Raw genomic sequence first — 20477 nt, forward strand, 5'->3', positions numbered from 1 at the left:
ATGGCAATTCTATATCTGTTGATAGCCTCCTTTCCTCCCCTCTTCTCTCTCTGTCATATCAGTATGACTGGGAGTTTATTAATTTTATTGATCTTCTTGAAGAACAAGCTTTATTTTCATTGATTTTTCTCTGTTGTTTTATATTTCATTGATTTCCTTCTTTCTGCTTACTTTAGTTTTACTTTGCTTATTTTTCTGGCTTTTAAAAGTAGGAGCTGAGTTTGTTGATTTAAGATCTTTCTTCTCTTCTAATATAGCCTTTTGATGCTATAAATTTACCCCCAAATATTACTTTAGCAGCACCCCAAATATTCTGATCTGTGGTATTTTCATTTTCATTCAGTTTAGAGTACTTTCTGATTTCCCTTGTGACTTCTAATTGAAACACTCCAAATATTTTAGGGGTTTTCCAGGGATCTTTCTAGTATTGGTTTATTACATTAAATCAGTCAATTAATTAATTAAGAGACAGGATCTCACCCTGTCATCCAGGCTGGAGTGCAGTGGCGTGATCATAGCTCATTGCACCCTTGAATTCCTGGTTTCAAGTGATCCTCTCATATCAGCCTGGCTTTTAAAAATCTTTTGTAGAGATAGTGTCTTACTATGTTGCCCAGCATGGTCTTGAATCCTTGCTCTCAAGCAGTTTTCCCTCCTTGGCCTCCCAAAGTGTTGGGATAACAGGTATGAGCTACTGAACCTGGCCTGGAATTGGTTTCTTATTTAACTCCATTGTGATTTAAGACAGACAAACACTTTAACTGGGTATGGTGGTGCGCCTATAGTCCCAGCTGCTTAGGAGATGGAGGTAGGAGGATCACTTGAGCTAGTAGCTGAGTTTAGCCTGGGCAACATAGTGAGACCTTGTCTCTCTAAAAACAAAAAACAAAACACACCTAGAAACAACATTGCTTGTATGACTTGTATCCTTTTAAATTTATTGGCACAATTTTATGGCCCAGAATATGGTCTTTCTTTGTAGATGTTCCCTGAGCACTTGAGAGGAACGTAATTTTCTTCTGTAGTTGGTAGGAATGTTCTATAAATGCCAGTCAGCCCAAGTTGGTTTATAGTGTTGCTCAGTTTTATTATATCCTTACGGATTTTTTGCCTGCTTGTTCTATCAAGAGAGGTATATTGATGTCTCTGGCTATAATTGTGGTTTTGTTTCTTTGTTCCTATTGTCCTGTGCTATTTTGAGGCTTTGTTATTTGGTACATAAACATTTAGGGTTATGTGGTATTGATTGATTGATCCCTTTATTATTATGAGATGACCACCTCTATCCCTGGTAATAGTCTTTGCTCTGAAATCTATCTGTCTGTCTGTCTGTCTATCTATCTATCTATCTATCTATCTATCTATCTATCTATCTATCTGCCTGCCTACCTACCTACCTATATCTGTCAGTCATGTATCTCACTTTATTATCTCTTTTAATTGGAGTATTTTCCATTCAAATGTTAGGTTTGAGACTTTCATGTTGCCATTTGTTTTTTGTTAGTCGCATTTTTTTTCCTTACCCTCTTTCCCTGCAGCCTTGAGAATGAATAAAGTATTTAAGATTTCATTTTATGTCTTTTGTTCCCATATTAGCTACAATTATTTTCCTCTTTTTTTTGTGGTTGCATTAGGGAAATACTATATATACACTATATATAATAAAGATATATAAATATATATAAAATATATATAAAGATATATAAGATATATAGTATATATAAGATATATCATGTATATATAGTATATACATATAAAGATATATATAAAGATATGTAAGATATATAGCATATATAATATATAGTATATATCTATCATATCTTTATATATATAAAGATATATAACATATATATTATATATATACAGTATTTTCCCTAAAGCACCACGAAAAACAAGGAAATAAAAAATTGTAGCTAATAAGGGAGCAAAAGAGATAAAATGATATGTTAAATACTTTATTCGTCCACAAGGCCGCAAGAAAGAGGGTAAGGAAAAAAATGCAACTAATGAAAAACAAATGGCAACATGAAAGTCTCAAACTTAACATTTGAATGGAAAATACTCCAATATATTTATATATATATATATATATACATACTATATATATCTTTAATTTACAGTGGTCTACCTTCACATGATGTTATATCACTTCATGAATAATACAAGAATATTATATTTACTCTTCTATTTACTTACATTTACGCCTTTATAGCCTTTATACTGTCGATGACATGAGTTTTACTTTTGTATTTGTTAAAAAGGCTACAAAACATTGTTACTATTTCTGCTTAAACAGTGAATTATCTTTTAAGGATATTTTAAATAATTAAAAAAAAAATCTTGTATATATCCCCATGTTTTCACAGGATCCTTAGGGTGTCACTTCGTCAGCCAGAAACCTCTGTGGCCAGCGTTGCCTCTGCTTCAGTTTTTCTCATTCCTGCTGGGCTCATTCCACCCACTCTGCCCGACAGGCTGCGCTCAGCTTGTGCTACCAACCTCGGTCCTACGCCAAGGGTGAGCCACATGCAGAGTGGCAAGGATTGTGTGAGCAAGTGAGCGCAGGGTCTGGCCACTGCACACAGCCAGGCTTAACGGCTGCTGCAGTGGGGAGGGCAGCTCCAGGTGCCCGCACAGGTACCGGCCCCATGTGAGGCTGTGGCTGGACCAGATGTACCACAAGTGGCTTCCACTGTGGGCACCAATGTCTCTGGATGAGGGGAATGCAGTGGCACCTGAAAGTGCAGAGACCGCCAGGAACCACAGAGCCCCAAAGAGGGGTATTACCGGGCTACCTGAAGGGCTGCAGGTCTTCTCTCCTTTTCATTGCCTGTGGTGGTGGGGTGTTATCCCATTTGTGTTACAGCTGTCTTAGTCTTGCCATCTGGCAGGTCCCAAGTTCTTGTCTCACATCCAGGAAGAATGGGTTATGTGGACAATTGTAGGGTGATCAAGGCAGAAAGGAACTTTATTGAGTGACAGACCAGCTCTCAGTGGAGACCTGAAGTGAGTAGCTCCTATCTGCAGGCAGGTAGTCCCAGTGAGTCCCTGAGTCTGGCTGAGTCCAGGGTTTTTATGGGCTCAGAATTTAGGAAGTGTGTGCTGATTGGTCCATGGGCAGCCATGGGTGGGCCTGGAAAAAGCACCATTCTAGTGGCCAAAAGGCATCAAGGAACTTCTCACTCGGGGTTATGGACTCCACTCAGAACTGGCAGCCCAGCCCACAGACTTCATGCCATCCCTGCCTTGAAGGTGGGATTTCACTGCGGACCCACCCTTTCCTGCCTTGGGACCTGTCTGCCTCCTGCCGTGATCAACATGCTGTCCACAGTAAGGCTGTCTGTGCCAGGAGGCACCTGCAGGCCTATACTGAGCTGCCCTCAGCAGCTCCAGCCTCCCTCCTGTGCTTACACCCAATGTCTGGAGGGGCCTGAGGTAGCAGGGGGCTGGTATACCAGCATGACCCTGAGTGTGCACATATGCCGCTAAGTCATAACAGTGCCCAGATTGGCCACAACTTTGCTCCATGCTGCATTAGGCACCGAGAGAGCAGGGAGAGGCCAGAGAAGCAGGAGCAGGCACTTCTGAGCCTGCAGGGCTTCCCGAGCCCCCAAGAACACATGGATGCTTGGGTCTGTAGCCACATCTAGGCAGCTGCAGCTGCAGCTGCACCTGGGAGTGTGGGTTCCTGTCCCGCCAACTCTGTAAGGTGCAGGGCTCCTGCTAGGATCACCTGTTCCTGGCCCTTGCTGGTTCTAAGTGAACAGGCCTTCCCCACTGCAGCGGGTGTCCTCGCAGTGGCCAATCCAGACGGGCCACCATTGCCACCATCAATGTGGTTACCATTTCTTATGCCCTTCATTTCTCTGGGTAGATCCTATTTACATCTGAGCGTTTTTCTTTTGCCTGAAGGCCTTCTTTTAACATTTCTTACTGAGAGAATTTACTGATGATGAAATCATTCAGCTTTTGTATGCCTGAAAACATCTTCACTTTGCCTTTGTTTTCAAAATTTTTTTCTGGGAATATAATTTTAGTTGGACAGTTACTTTTTCTTTTAGTAATTTAAAAGTGTTGCTCTACTGTTTTCTCTTAGTGTTTGCCATGACAAAATTTGTGTCACTCTTAGTTTCTGGTAATGTAACTTGTCTTTTTTTTTGACTGCTTTTAAGTGTTTTCTCTCTAGTGCTGCTTTTGAGCATTTGGTTACATTGTGCCTTACCCTAGTTTCCTTCATGTTTCTTGTGCTTTAGGTTTGTTGAGCTTCTTTGATCTAGGATTCATCATTTTTATGAAGTTTGGAAATTTTGGGTTATTATTTCTTTAAGGTTTTTTCCCCTTCTCTTCTGCTTTACCTTTTCAGGGACTCCAATTAACCAGATACTAGATAGTTTGAACTCTTCCTAGAGTTTCCTGTGCTACTTTGATTTTTCTTCATTCTTTTTTCTCTTTGCATTTCAGTTTGGATAGTTGCTGTGTCTCAGGTTCACCAGTCTTTTCTTCTGCTATGTCAAATCTGTTGTTAGTCCTATTCAATGTGTTTTTCATCTCCGACAGCAGTTTCATTTCTAAAGATTTGGTTACAGTGTTTTTAAAAATACTTACAAGTCTCTATTTAACTGTTTGAACTTTTGGAATACAGGTACAATGATTGTTTCAGTGTCCTTGTTTGCAATTAACCTCAGTGCCACTTCTGGGTTGTTTTCACTTTATTGATTATTCTACTCATTATGGGTCATGCTTTTCTGCCTCATTGTGTAACTGGTGATCTTTGGATGCCAGACATTGTGAATTTTACCTTGTTGGATGCTAGGTATTTTGGTATTTCTATAAGTCGCCTTGAGCTTTGTTCTGGGATGCAGTAAAGTTACTTAGAAAAACTTTGATCACCTGGAGTTTTGTTATTGGCATTTGTTAAGGGAAATCTGGAAAAGAGCTTAGTCTAGGCCTTGGTTATTCCTCATTACTTTTGCAAGACCTTTTTGAGTATTCAATCTAATCATCTGTGAAGTATGAGTTTTTTAGTCTCTCTCATGGGAACAGGCACTGTTCAGAGTCCTGTGCGAGTCCCAAGAAATGTTCTCTATAATTCTTTTGGGTGTTTCTTTCCCCAGCCTTGAGTAGCGTCCCCCTGCTTTCGAGCCAGTCTGTACTGTGTTGCAGGTGAACCCTCTGTAGATCTCCAGGGCTCTCTCTCTGTGTAATTCTCTTCTCTCTAGTCCTCTATCCTATGAACCCCAGCTGCCTTGATGTCCTCAGACTCAACTCTGTCTCCTCAATTCATCGAGTTGGCCTGGTTCTGCCCCAGTTTCATCTCCTGGTATTGCACCCTGGAAACTCTCCAGACAATAAGGTGGGTCAGTTATAGGGCTCTCATTTGTTTCCTGCATCTCAGAGATTACTGTCATTAGTTACTTCATGTCTGGTATCTTGAAAACCATTGTTCATATATTTTTCTGAGTATTTTTTGTTGTTTCAGGCAGGAGACTGTATCTAGTCACTGTTTCTCCATCTTGACCAGAAGTGGTTCTCCCATATTTCATTTAACAACATCATGAAATCTCTTTCAGCCAAGCTCAAGACCATAATTTGTCCTTCTCTGCCTTCTCTTTTGACCCAATGCCTTGTTCTTTCAGTCTTGTCAGTTCTTACTTCCTAGTATATTTGACATTCTTTTGTACTTAATGGTAAAAATCTTTAGGTAAACATCATCATTATTAACTTACACTAAAAAATAGTAAAATCATTGGAATGGAGGGAATATTGTCAGAATAGTTATAAGTTTTGGTGCCCTATCCCAGTGCCATCTTTAAGGTGAGTATTCAGGGAATATTTCTTATACATCTTAATTCAGTGTAAAATTTGCATGTTTTATATGTTGATAGAGCAGAATTATTTCAGGATGAGTATATTTGTTTAGATCTTTTAAAAAATGTATCTTTAGGGAGGTTTGTGCTTTTCCAGACTGAGCCAGAATGCTCGTACTGCATTTTGGATTTACACACACACACACACACACACACACACACACACACTACTTTTTTACTTTCCAGTTTCCCCTGTTACTTGGTGTGCTGCTTGAAACCAGACTTGCCATTCTTACATCTCCAGAACCTCATACCATGCCTGGCATAGTGGCACTCAATTAAGGTCTGATGATTTGTACTGAGTAAGCTATAGTTTTAGGCTTGGAGCATTGTTAAGGCTTTGCATAGAATCTCTGCATTATACAGAATCTTAACTGTCTCTACATTACAGTATAATCCACATCTGCATCTTTGCAGCTTGCTATTATACATCTTTGGTTTGCTGTGAAAGAGCTGTCAGAGAATGAGCTCTTTATTGCTTAGAATTACTAGTTAACTATTGTTTTGCCATTGATCAGAATGTCTCCTTTTTCTGTTCTGCTGTATTCATTGTGGTATTTTGTTGTAATCAGAGATAGTCTTGGAGGTGCAAGACTTATTGGATCTCCGTTTGTGCCATTGTCGCAACATCACTGACTTGGTGAGGATCAGTCAGGGGTTTCTTCCTTCTGTTTTTGTCATGGCAGTCTTACTTTTTGAAACATTTGTCACCTTCTCTGATCCTGCCTCCTGCTTTTCCCCATCTGCACTCTGACCTATACTGTTTTAGAAGGAAAAGATAATAAAGGTCAGATTTTATAAAACTCTGTTCAAGAAATACTGCATAAAGGGCTCTTCAAGATAAAAGACTACCCCGCTTGTCAGGCAGCCTGCTAATTTGAGAGTGCTGACGACTTACCTTGATGAGGCAATCTTCGAATTGATGACTCTTTTTAATTAATTGTCTTTTCATTGATAAAACAGAATTGCTTTGTTTTCCTTTTACTGCCCATCTCTTCCTCACAAAATATGTTTCCTCTCCGAACACACAAACTGTGTTTTCAGAATCTCCCCTGAGTCTGGAGGTCTGGACAGTAGTGTGTTTGTGTGCTTGTGTGTGTATATGTGTGCACACACATGCACAGCTTGTGTGCATGGTATCTGTGATTTCTGTGTGTGCTTATATTTTTCACTATTTTGGATTCATCCAGTTCTATAAAGACATACTTGCTTGCTTTGCATGGTTCTGGCTCCCTCTGCAGCCCCAAATGGAAAAGTGCTTTGTTGTCTTTTGTTGCTGAAAAATCCAGCTCTCGGCCTTCTTTCTTTGAGTAGAGCATCCCAGCTGGTATACAAGTATAGATTGGATTTCAGATTTAGCAATGCATTGTGTTTTGACAAAGCTTATTGAAGATGGAAGTCATTTTTCAGGAGCGCTCTAAGAGGTGAGAAAATGGCAAGGGAGGGTGGGGAGGAAAGGGAGAAAATGCAGAAGAGGCAGACACAATTGCAACATTGATTTGGTAAATAGAAAGTTAATGTAGCTACAGGTATTGACAGTAAACTTTGGCTAAGATATTGGAGAATTGCAGATTGGAAGGCTAGAGCTATTTCAGAATTTCCAGGGCCATTTTATTGGATTATACACCTTAGAACCTTAACACACAGCTTCTGTTGATTAGTACAGTTTGGCCTCCAGTGTGAGTTTGGCTTTGAACACTCAGTGTGACTTTGGCTAGGGCTTGGCACCTGTGGACTTCAGCTTCTACTTTAGTAAAATGAATGAGTTAGAACAAATAATTGTTACATTCAAATCCAGATTTATGAGTGTACGATAGTGGCTTCACATTATTTGTTTTAAGTTACCGTTGAGAATTTGGTTCTCAGTAATCTAGAGCTACTATTTTAGCAGAATTATACATGGGATGCAGAATAGAAGCTTTTAAGCAACAGTCAACCAGATTGGTCTATAATAACTCCAGGATAAATACAAGAAGAATTTCTGGACACATTTTGCCCCAGTGAAGTAAAATTATTTACATTCAAGGATGGATTTGGAAATGCAGGTATTTTTCTGTTGATCTGCACGTTGGTTACACTGGTGTGTTCAGTGTGTAATTACACTTCCATGCAGTTATTTTTGTTTTTGTGTTAGATTTCAATAAACTATTATTTTTTCTAACAGATCTTAAACTTTAATGCTTCTTTAGAGTACTAATCAAAGTACTGTTACATAAGTAATGGCTCATGTGTGCGCACAGGTGTCTGCTCTGTGAAGTAGTCCATTTCAAATTATACCACATTAAATTGTGTCTGCTTTAAAGGGTTAAAATAAGTACATGTATATATTTAGATATATAAGATGACTTCTATTTAATAGATAATTAGAATGTTTATGTAATAGATTTATGCTTTCAGAGATTTCATATTCACAAAGTAAGTTTTGGAACCTTGAAACATGGATAGGTCAGTGTCATTTGGTTTCTTTTTTCTTCGTTTAATCCTTTTCAGGACTTCGGCTCCCTGTGAGTTGTTAATGTATAGTGTTTATGAATCCAAATAACATTCATTAACTTTCTTGGAAGGTCACAGTTATGTTGGTTCTGTTCGAAATAAGTACTATAAATTTTTTAGAATAAAAAAGGAAAGTATTACAGTGAGTTTTGCTATCCACTTGCCACTTTCCTTTCCCTTCCTTTTTTTGTTTTTTGTTTTTTGTTTTTTGGTAGGGAGGGAGGTCTCCCTGTGTTGTTTAGGTTGGTCTCAAACTCTTGGCCTCAAGCAGTCCTCCCACCTCAGCCTCCCAAAATGTTGGGATTACAGGTGTGAGCCATTGCACTTGGCCCTTTCCCATTTTTGTGCTTGACTAGTATAAGTGTCATTTTTGTTTTCTTGAAACCTTTGTTCTTTCCCATGTGAATACACATAGGATGACAATAGTCACAAAACTCTTTCCGTACTTAGAAGACTAAAACCAGAAATTGTTGCTTGAACATGTAATGGATAATTGTTAAAATTCTGCACTGGTTTGTACTGTTCTCGAATTTTTATGTAAAGGTCTAGTTTAGAGATTTATTATTTTTATTGTTTAGACTTAAAAGGAAAACAGTTAGCTGCGGAATCTAGTTTTTATCCTGGAGCGAAACTCATATAACCTTGTTGATTTTAGTGGGAATTAGAAAGTTCAGACTCTTTTTTTAGAGGTCTCCCAAAATTGTTTCCACTCTATGTTGAAAGGAACTCTAATCTACAGAAGTGGAGGTGACAGTAAGGAGGGCAGGGGATGCTCTTCCCAAAGGAGTTTCTACAATGCAGCTGAGTTAGAGTGCAGTAGAAAGAGCGAGATCTCATAGTGGCATGTTCCTGTCACAGCATGTGTATAGCAGTCACAGACTCTGAACCCAAAGACTGTATTTCTAGTTGGAGCAGACATTGACTCCTTTTTCTGGGCTGAAAACAGTGAAGTGTATTGGTTTTGGTAGCTTGGGTTATAAGAAACCTAAATTAGTTTGAAGTGGAATTATCCTGATGAAAGGGCAGTTGAAAGCCCTTGACACTGGACAGAGGATTGTCTAGTGTCTAATCTTGGCTCAAAATGCACCAGACATAATGAGAGTCATTATGAACTGCTGATCTCCTACCCCTCCCCTCAGCAGACCCTATTAGACTTGCAAAAATAGCAAACACTGTGTGTGTTTGGCATGGTGCCTGCTGTGTAGTAGAGGAAGAAAGCGTACCTTGTTTGCACCACAACCAGATACTGGTGCATCATGTTACAGCTCTGCTTGGTTCTGAGCTCCTCTGTTCAATCTCGTCTTGACAGATGCTGTCGTTGCCACCCCTTAGCAAGACAAATGCAGCCACTCTGCAGGAGTTGGCTTTTGCCCAGCTGTGCTTGCCAGGGCCCCAAACTGATGTGCGTGTGTACCTGTGGAAAGGTAACAGGCTGTGGGTGTGTTATCCTCTGCCATTATGTGCATTACCTTTTGAGTTTTTGCCATTCCCGAAGGAAAAGTTACGGTTTTGTTTGTTCAGATAAATCTGAACCCTCAATTTCTCTTACTGCTTTTTTCACAACAGATGTTGTTAGGCACCCACTAAAGATCCCCAGGAAGGGTCCCTGCCCCATATAAGCTCACTTTCTCTGTAGGTAGAAAGAAATGCAAACAGTCACATAATCACAACCTTAATAGCTATGTGTATAAAGGACTCTGGGAAAAAAGGACGGAGGGGATCTTTGGAGGTGCATGCCAGGAGAGAGTTGTCTCATACGAGCTATGAAGGTTAAGTATTGCTTAGGAGGTGTAGATATATGTGTTGCCAGGGTCCAAGGTGAAAAAGGAGAAGTGGTTTGAAATGAGCTTGGTGAACCTAGGTTTGGGCCTGGTTTTGAAGGCTACTGGCAATAGGGAATCATCATAGAATTTTAAACTAGGTGAGTAGCCTTTTCAAAATTTTTTTAGGAAGCATTATTCTGGTTTCAGTCTGGAGAATAAGATTATATAAAAAGTGCTGAGAGTTGGAAAAGTGCCAGCCTATTATGTTGGGAGAAGGAAGCATGGAGAGGTTTTAGATGTGACCATTAGTTCAGATAGAGTAGTGAAGGGAGATAGGACTTAACCAACAGGAAGAGAAATTAAAGAGAGTAAGAAAGGAAGGTCTAAGGTTTTCAGCTAATACTCCCCAGGCATAGTATTTATAGGGAAACAGGGAAGGTAGATTTCAGTTTGGGGCAGACTGGATTTAAAATACCTGCGGAATATGTAGGTATTAATGAGTAAATTTCAGTGTGAAGTTTGTACCCAGAGTTGAGAATAGAGCAGGCTGGGCACATAGGGTTCTGGGATAATTGATGTTACAAATTAGAGTCTGGTTTAGCGGTTAGAGCCATGAGACCCTCTAATCCAAGTTTGATGTCCCATGGCAGTTTGATGCAGGATGGGACCAACATTATAGACCTACTGTTACCTGCTAAAAAAGGCATTTAGTATATTTCACTCCTGAGTCCAGAAAGCCATTTACCAAGAGCATATCTGAATTTGTGCGGCAGGGAATAATATAACAATGAGTTCTGTGTATTCACAATTTAGGAATTAATTTCACAAGACCACAGGTTGGAAATTCTTGTCCTCTAATGGGATTGAGCCTTTGTGGAAAGAGTGTCACCTGTATTTTCCTCATCTCAGTAGATGAAGTAGTTACTGTTTCTTTCCCACATTCAGCCAATAGCATACATTTTGTAGAAAGCAACTAAAGTTTTTCCTCCAAAGCTTTAGGCCTCTTCTCTTTCAGTTCCTCTTGGTAAGACCTGGCCTGTATTGGTCAGTCTGCCTGTTCTTTCTACTTGGCTTACACCATCTGCCCATTGGGACCTACAGATTTTTTTTGTTTTGTTTTGTTTTGTTTTTGAGACAGAGTCTCTCTCTGTCGCCCAGGCTGGAGTGCAGTGGCGTGATCTCGGCTCATTGCAAGCTCCACCTCCTGGGTTCACGCCATTCTCCTGCCTCAGCCTCCCGAGTAGCTGGGACTACAGGTGCCCGCCACCACACCCGGCTAATTTTTTGTATTTTTGGTAGAGATGGGGTTTCACCCTGTTAGCCAGGATGGTCTCGATCTCCTGACCTCGTAATCCACCAGCCTAGGCCTCCCAAAGTGCTGGGATTACAGGCGTGAGCCACTGTGCCTGGCTGGGACATACAGATATTTTTTGGCTGCTTATAAGTTTTTGTTCTCCTAGGGGATTTCTGGGACACTTAAATATGATTATATCCATCAGTGAATGAACAATCCATAGAGTTGACATCAGTGGTAAATACAGTAATGTGAGAGTCTAAAACGTGAGCCAAAGTTCCATTTAAAAGATCTAAATGCAAATTATCTCACTAAACTTGAGAATTATTGATCATCTCTGTCCCTTTCTCCTTTTTCTCTCCCTTTTCTTTCCGTCGTTCCTCCCTCTCTTTTCCCTTTACCCTCTTCTCTTCCTTTCCCCGCTCCCTGTTCTCTCTTCTCTTTCCCCCTTTTTTCTTCCCCTCCATCTTACTTTCCCTTCTCTCTCTTCTCATTTGATATAACTGACAGATTTGAGCAGAACTGTGAGGCTCTTAGGAGCTGTGTGTGATGTGGAGTGGCCAGATGACTTTATGTGAGTATGCACGAGGGACTGTAAAGAGGCTGTCCAGAGGCCAGCCTCCCTCCAGGTTGTTCCTAACCCTGGAGAGTCATCATATGTTATTTCTCATCTCAGACTGCCACAGAATTGAGGAGGGAGATTGAAGGCAGCTCATTAAACCACTTTGGCCACAGATAAGAGTGTTAAGAGATTAAGAAGTAGATTTATCTGGGGGAGGGGTTTGGTCCCGGATGAAGCCTTTTCCTGCCGTCGGAAACCAAAGATTTCCTTGTCTCTTTTGTTCTGATCCATGGAATGGTGTGGCTTAGCTGCCTCTAAATCTGTTTTGGCAAGGTTGTTTGTAAGGAGACATGGCAGGGTCTGTCTGGAGGGAACAGAAAAGAGAGTACATATTGAATGTAGATGCTTGAAACTAGATCATAGTTTACCTAATTGCAGACCTTGAAGAAACTCTTGGGGCCACTTGGATGGGGGTGCTTCTGGAAGTTTGTCTCTGGGGGTATGTGAGTATGGACCTCTTCCACACTGAGAAGAGGGCAGAGCCCAGTCATCAGTTTTCATGTCCCTGAGTACAATATTAGGCTTCTTTTTATTATTATCATTATTTCAACTGGTAACAATGTTTCCCCTCAGGAAATGTCTTTACCTCTCTGAAGAGAAGACCGTGATGCCAGCTGTTAGTTTGAGAAATGCTGCAGGGTCCTCTCCTACCTGCTGTTTCTGTGCTCTTTCCATGTGTTGTGGTGAAGCCCCTACCTCTCCAGCCATGGGGCCTTGTTCTTCATCATTTGTTCCTATCTTCAGTTTGGGATGTGGCAAGGAGAGGCAGAGTGCACTAGAGAAATCTGATACTGTAATGTGCTAGGAGACAGCATGATGAGAGGTTTTGGGTGGGAAGTCCATGCTAAACATCTTAAATGCTTCAGAAACTTCTTTACAGAATTCTCTGCCTTTAGGATTCTCCTGTTCAATAAATATATTTTTCACCACTTTAGAAATAATCTTCTTAAAGCCCTTCCTTGAACTCATGCATCTGTAATGACTGCCCATGACCAGCAGTACTACATTGTGGAATGCAAGACCTAATTAGTCTAAGCATGAAAGACCTTTTAGTTTCATCAGCTAAGCCCCCTTGTCCTCCCAGGCATTCCTCTTTCCAGGTGCTGTCTCCTTCTGCAGCTTCCCGTAGGCCTCTTCCCACTGCTCTTTCTGCTCTTCTATAAAACTCCACATTTAATGCCTACACCTTACCAAACTCCAGGAAACTTCCTTGACTCTTGCGGGCTATATGGATCTCTACTTATTTTAGTTTTTGCTGTTGCAGGAGGAAAGTATGATTTTTAAAATACAATAATCCTTTTGTATGTCTACAGAAGAATGTGGTTTGGTGAGTTTTACATTTGATGCATGATTGTATCCACCATTGTGAGATTATAAATAAATCTCAAGACATGACCTTGCCCTGAACCCAAAACTAAACATGAATGAAACTATAGAAATAACTGGATAACCTCTGGTACATAGAGGGTCGGTGTTACAGGGAGATAAGCAGTACACCCTAACCTAGGGAAGTGCAATGAGCAGAGAGGGGATGGAGTATGTAGGTGGAGAAGTGGCTAAGTGTCTTAGATAGACAAGGTGGAACCAAAGTACATAGAGCCTGGAAGCTGCAGAAAAGAACGTAGGCTAAGAAACAAGATCAATTATAGGTGGTTGAGTAGGTGAGTAAGACAGAAATGTGTGAGGTGATTGGAAGGGACTGCTACGATAAGCCAGCTGTGCTTACAATGGTGAAGATAAGGAATGGTGACTTGGGAAGATGTATTGGAGAAAAATGATAGGGCCTGCTGACTGAGCAGCTCAAGCTTTATGGGAACTGCTGATCATGTTTTTAACTGCTATAGATATATTTGATTTAAGTAAATCAATTTGTAAAGATTTAGATTTCATAATGATATCTTAGACCATATTTGCACAGCAAGTGAAACTTAAATACTCTTGTATCCCTATCACATCATGTTATCTTTAACATGTGTATCAACTTTCTTACCTATAAATGCTGGTGACACCTCCCAGTTTTCTAGGCTTAATTTGTAGAGGGCTCAACATGTGAACAATGAATTTGGTGCACCATTCAAGAAGTAAAATTCAATCATTTTTTTCTCCTATTCATTTCTAAGGATAGGAATCTTTGCCTTATAGAAATATTTTAAAGGAGCCCCCTTAAATGTCACACTCTCTTTAGGCTTAAACTATTCTTATTTCCAAAATGTAACATCAGAAGTTCAGAAATTCTTTCTACTTAGGTTCTCTGTGCCCCACACAACCTCACATTTTTGCCTGAGTCTCCCCAGTCTTGCTGCAGGAGCTGGGGTAGCTTCAGCCCACTTACATCCTGCCAGGGGATAAACTTGATACCTTTTGCTTTCATGAAACACTATCTGTGTGAAGTGAGCTCTTTGATCCACAGTCTTTTATGCTGAAGCTAAGGGAGGATTAAGGAACACCTCTGAGTTGATGAATATTTGATGAGGTTTATATAATTTAAAATTACACTCTTGTTAACCCTTTCACTCAATGGAGAGAGAAGAGAAACTTGTATAATCGTGGTTCCTACTTAGGCATAAGGTACTGTGTCTTCTCTGGGTGCATCCTCCTTATCTATGTAGAGCAGAGCATGGGAACTTAGTAAATGTCAATTGATGATTGGCATTTTTTACAGCTTCATAGAGAGAAATATCTCTTTGCTTCATTATAACCATACTGAGTGAGATGCTGAAGTGGAATTGGGATCACACAGTATCTGTGTATTTGACATTGCATGTATAATGGTGAACAAGGCAGATATTCCACTCATCATAACAACAACAGTAGTAATCATACCACCAGGAAGCATTCTTTCAGTGCTTACTGTATGCAAGGCTCTATTCTAAACTCTTTTCATCCATTTTAATTCTTAGAACAAACTTATAAGGTAGATGCTATTATTATCATTTCTATTTTATAGGTAACACAACCCAGGCACAAAGAGACTAACTCCCACAAGGTTTCACAACTTACAAATAGCAGAGTCAGGATTTGAACCTGGGCAGGCAGTTCTCAGAGCCTGCGTTCCTAACTTCTGGCTGGACCCCTCATGGTGAGAAGGGCAGAGAGTTGACAAATCCTCTGAAGTATGGTGAGTTCTGTAGGAGTCTGCAACAGGGCGAATTAACCTAGGGAAGAGGAAGGCTGGGAAGGCTTTCCTGAGAAAATGTCTTTTGGGATGAAACATGAAGGATGAGTAGGTGCTCTCTAGGTGAGGGCTCATGGACAAAACTATTCCAACATGTGTAGTGGCCACAGGCTGGACAGAATAAAATAGGTGATTTGGAGGAACAACAGAGAGAAGCCCATTAGGGGTAGAGAAAGTGAGAGAGTGTGTGTCATGGAGTGATGCCACAGGGGCCAAATCATGAAGTCCTCCGTAGGTCCCACTTCCAGGATGTGGGTCATGGAAATATAAAGGGCTAAGGACAAACGGAGCATTCAAGGGGTAGAACCATGGGTATAACATGATGAGATGTAAGCTTTAACGTGTTTCTCACTAGTGATGTGTCTAAGTCATAGAGGGAGACAGTAGAGGACAAGAGTGCAGTCAGGCAGCTGATGCTGTAATCCAGGTGAAGGAGGATGGCAGCCTGGACCAAGGTAGTAGAGGTAAGGATGGATAGAAGCTTAGGAGCTTATTAGGATGCAGATAATAGGAGTTCTGGATGTGGGAGATGAGGGTGAGGGAGGAACCAGTAACAATGCCTATGTTAACAGTCAGAAGAAGGTTACAATGTAACCAGACTGGAACATGAACAAATTATCTGCAGTGGAGCTTATTTGCTCAAAAGAAGGATCCTGCAAGAGAACATGGATGGCTTGTGTCATCCAAATATGGATGGCTTTGCCCAGTTAGAGAATAATTCCTGCTGAGAGAATACACATGCACGCAAGCATGTACACACGCACACACATTTGTTGTAGAGGGTTATACCCTCCCAAGTTAAGGTAATTTCATAATTGAGGTCGACCCTCTCGATGTGGTACCATTGATAAGCCCCAGCACTACAGTTCAGCTACCAACACTGAGTTTCTCATTGAGTCAAAGCGTGGGATGATCTGACAGCGTCAGCAGCACTGCACAACAGTGGGAGGGACGGATGAATGCCACATCTATAAGGAATTGCCACTTGGATTCAAGAGGAAAAGGGGTAATTATCCACATGGGTAACAATTTCAGTTTCATTTCTCCCTTGAGCTAACTCTATTCACCTCAAACGTCTTTCCTGTCTAGAGAACCACCAAAAGTGTCATTCTGATTACCATTTGTAACTAGGTGTTTTCTGCTTAACATTTGGAACTGGGTGGGGTGAGATAAATTCCAAGAAGATGGGAAGTTTTTATATTGCAGTTTATACTACAGCAGCAGCTCCAGTCTGCCCTACAGACCTTCTAGATTTTTTTTTTTTTTTTGGCTGTGTGACAGGTGCCTGTGGAGTTTATATTTTGATATTTGATCAAACTTTTTAAACCTGAGCTTGTAGTAACCATTATAGTCGTCATGCTTGAGAATGTGTATTTGCTAGTAGTATAGAGTTAACCTCAGTTTATGGGGGCAGGGATTACTTTGTGAGGAATTAAATGTGGTGTTTGAAAAACTGGGAAGTGAAGATCTTCTGCAACACAGGAGTTTCTAAAGGAAAAACAATTGGGCCAGACTGGATGAACTGGTTAGATTAAATGCTATCTTCCTGACTCAGGGTTATTATTTTTGGTTGCTTATTTTATTTTTAATTGTTGAAGATTTATTGTACCATGCTTTGCTCAGGACAGTGTGTAAGGTATTTAGGGAAAGACCTGAAAGAGACAGGAAGCATGAGCCCTTCCATCAGGCACCTGAATAACTGATGGTGGACATATTGAGAATACGTAGAAAATTTGTATCTTATGGTCATATTGCACTTCAGACTTTTCACAATGCCCTTGTATCTCTGTTACTTGATTCTAGTTTTCTTGGCTCAGCATGCACAGTTGTTTTCTTTACTTGTTTATGGTCTGTCTCTCCCACTTAAATATCAGGTCCTTGAGAGCAGATACTTGTTCTCAGCTACAGCCCAGCACCTAGATCAATACCTGACATATTGTGGGCACTCAGTAAATCTTAGGAGGATAAATGAACAAAAAACCTATCTTCTGAATATCAGTGATAATCATATAAAACAGGCTTGGTATGCTACCATTTATGTACTTCTGATTTTGTGTTTTGACAGGTTTTCACCTAAGGTTTGTAGTAGTTGGTTTTCCTCAGAGAAGTTTTTGGGCTATTTTTCTTTTTAAGAAAGGGTGAGTGATGTCATTATGAAGTTGAAGCTATAGGACTAATCATATACTTGCCCTGCATCTATGGTGACTTTTTTTTCTACTGGAAAGAAAGCCCGCTATTAAATAATTATTACTTCCAGGTCTGAGGGAGACTGTCCAGCATCTGCAAGAGTTTTGCTAGGATGCAGGGCTTTGTTCCCCCACTGGGCTGTGATTCCATCCATGGAGTAAGCTGCATTGTGGTAGCAAGTCATCTTGACAGTGGCAAGTATAGCATATTTCAACTGGTGATTTCTGCATGATTTGCATGAATTTCTGTATGACAGGAGTCACAACAAAACTGTTACGTGACTTGTGTCTAAAGCTATCAGTCAGCTGGAGCTGTGAAAATCAGTTTGCATGTGTCAACAATTTAATCTTCTAATATGCTTGCCAATAGAAAACTGACACTAGAATTATTTTTCTGTATTTACTGACTAGAAAGATATGGTTATCAAGTGCACTGATTGAAAAATCTTTAAATTCCAGTCTTTAAATCGGGACCATATGTGTGTTCTTTCCCTAGCCAAATCTATTTGTGCATTCACCCACACATGTGTATACATATACACACACAGTACAGTTACATTGATATGTGTTTGCGTTATATATGTATGTATTCACACAGAGCATGCATATGCCTCATGCATATTCATGAGCTTTAAATGTGCTTATAGATTAAGATATAAGGATGTTGGGGAAGTTTCCCTATCTGTTAACTGAGAATAATACTACTGCCTACCTTCCAAGCACCTTGTAAGAATTAAATTAGTTAATATAAGTAAAGTTCTTAGAACAAGGCCTGGAACATAGTATGTTTCCTATAAATATTAGCTTTTATTATTTTAGAGTATGTCTTCATTCTGTCAGCTTCAAATGGGCTTCAAAATTTAGCTTCAGAGGCAGTATGGCAAAGCCTCAGAATTATTGCATAATTCATTTGATGAATTTACTGTTATTCTAAAATGCCTGCAAACAATTTATATGTCATGCAGGAAATATTGGTATTTGTATTTCTAAATCAAAGCCATTTATTAAATACCTTAGTCATATTGATTCCTGTTATAGTAAATTACTTCTCTTTCTATGTCATCATTATCTCCTAGGGTCTATCAGGGAGATATTTTCAGTGAATTTGTCTTTCATTATCAGACTAAAACTAACTTCACTGAAAACATCTTCATTTGGGATTTGAAAGAGAACAAATTTTCCATTTACTAAGAAAAAAATAGGTGTTTGTGTATTGGTATAAAAATAGGTATGTATGTAAGTGATCAAATAGAAAATAATGCAAAGGGACATAGAAGAATTTGGGAATGGAGGTAACATACACCTAGAAAAACAGTGACAAGGGCACATACTATTTTGAAGCAGGTTTTAGCAGGTAATGATGGTACTCACTGTGGGAGGAAGGTGTGAATCATCAGTCAAAACGAGTGTACAAACTGGTGATATGAAATGCTGCTTAACAGTTGTTTTAAATAATTAGATTTTTGTTGGGGATAAATAGTTCATTCCAGACAAAAGTACTAGGGACTCTATAGCTCATCTAACTTCATAGATTAAAATGAAGGCCCAGATAATTAAAGTGAAGACCTCAGAGTTAGTTAATGGAAGTGCAAGTTTCAAAACCAGGCTGCGATGTGGGGGAGACAGTGTCCTCCATGACAGCTCTTTAACAGATGGCATAGAAACTCGACTTGTGACCTTGAGGGGCTCACTTCAGCTCTCTAAGAATAATTCCAGCCCAGAGCTACACCATATATAGAGTCTGTAGACTATTCCTAATAAAATGGTTTTCTTGTCTTAGAGAAGAGAAACTCAGCACATACCTACTTTGAGTCAGGTTTGGGCATGCTCGAAAAGGGGGCAGCGTTTTTAGATGGAGACTGCTGGAGTAGACTCAGGGTCTCTTTCAGCATGGCTGCCTGTGTGATTTGATTCATGTGCACTTTAAAAACCTGTTTTATCTAAGTGTAAGACTGTAGAAGACATATATATTTAGGGTATTGCATTGATTTTTGGAAACCATTTGTGTAGGGTACAGTATCTTTGAATTTCACTATAGTAACCGAGTTACAAAATGGGCCACTGGGTCTGCTGGGCTGAGAACCATCAAACTGAATGGTCAGCAACTTTGTTCATGCTTCATCTACTTTTTCTTTTCAATCATTTGGGGACAGATAATCTTTTGGTCGCTTTTTAGACTAACTTTGAGATTCAGAGGGGCAGTGTATTCTTGGCTAAAACTTTTTGTACGAGGCACACTTTCTTTTAAGGTTTGTGATTTTACCCTTACGTATCAGATTTCATGGTATCCAAATGCAAACATGTATTTAACAGTTGGTAGGGATGGGAGAGTTTGAGGACAGCAAAGCAGCCTACTTTGATGAAAGGGTCAGATAGATTTTAGGATCTGCACCCTTTCTTAGCATCCTAAGCATTTTGAGAAGCAGTTGTATGTAGGTAAAAACAAACAAACAAACAACTTGGTAGTTGGTGTCAGCTGAACTGCTTTTTACTGAATCTCTGCTGTACTAGCTGTGTGGCTCTGAGGCTTACTTCCCTAGTCTGCAAAGTAAAGGTAATGATACCTGTTTCACAATTTAAAAAATAGATTTATTGAAATATATTTCACATACCATAAAATTCCACTAATTTAAAATATATAGTTCAGTGATTTTAGTATATTCACAGAGATGCAGCCATCACCACAAGCAATTTTAGAACATTTTATCACCCATGAAAGAAATCCTGAACCCAAAAGGGCCATTTCCTCCCTAACTTCCCTAACTCTAGGCAACCACTGATCTACTTTCTGTCTGTGTGGATTCACCTGTTTTGGACATTTCATATAAATGGAATTATATAATATGTTGTGTTTTATGACTGCCTTCATTCACTTAGCATAATGTTTTCAATATTCATGTTGTAGCATGTATCAGTACTTCATTCTCCTCACCCCCCAGCTTTATATTAAAGTATAATTGGCAAAAAAGTACATATTTAAGATGTATAATGTGATGATTTGATATATGTATATATTGTGAAATAATTAGCATAATCAGGTTAATTAAACACCTTAATCCAAATCCATTGCCTTGCAT

General features: G+C 39.7%; 1 protein-coding gene across 21 annotated transcripts in view, besides 1 other annotated feature; it reads left to right on the forward strand.

The window, feature by feature from the left end:
* AUTS2 (activator of transcription and developmental regulator AUTS2) overlaps window positions 1-20477 on the forward strand; it is a 1195032-nt gene that overhangs the window by 326639 nt on the left and 847916 nt on the right. The window lies entirely within an intron of this gene.
* Window positions 8971-10583: an enhancer, noted in NCBI's record as "VISTA enhancer hs1660". NCBI's record gives its function as "enhancer in: ear[5/8]" and the evidence as "EXISTENCE:transgenic organism evidence [ECO:0001131][PMID:17130149]".

The sequence above is a fragment of the Homo sapiens genome, chromosome 7, assembly GCF_000001405.40.
Source record: "Homo sapiens chromosome 7, GRCh38.p14 Primary Assembly".
In the NCBI taxonomy this organism is placed as follows: domain Eukaryota; kingdom Metazoa; phylum Chordata; class Mammalia; order Primates; family Hominidae; genus Homo; species Homo sapiens.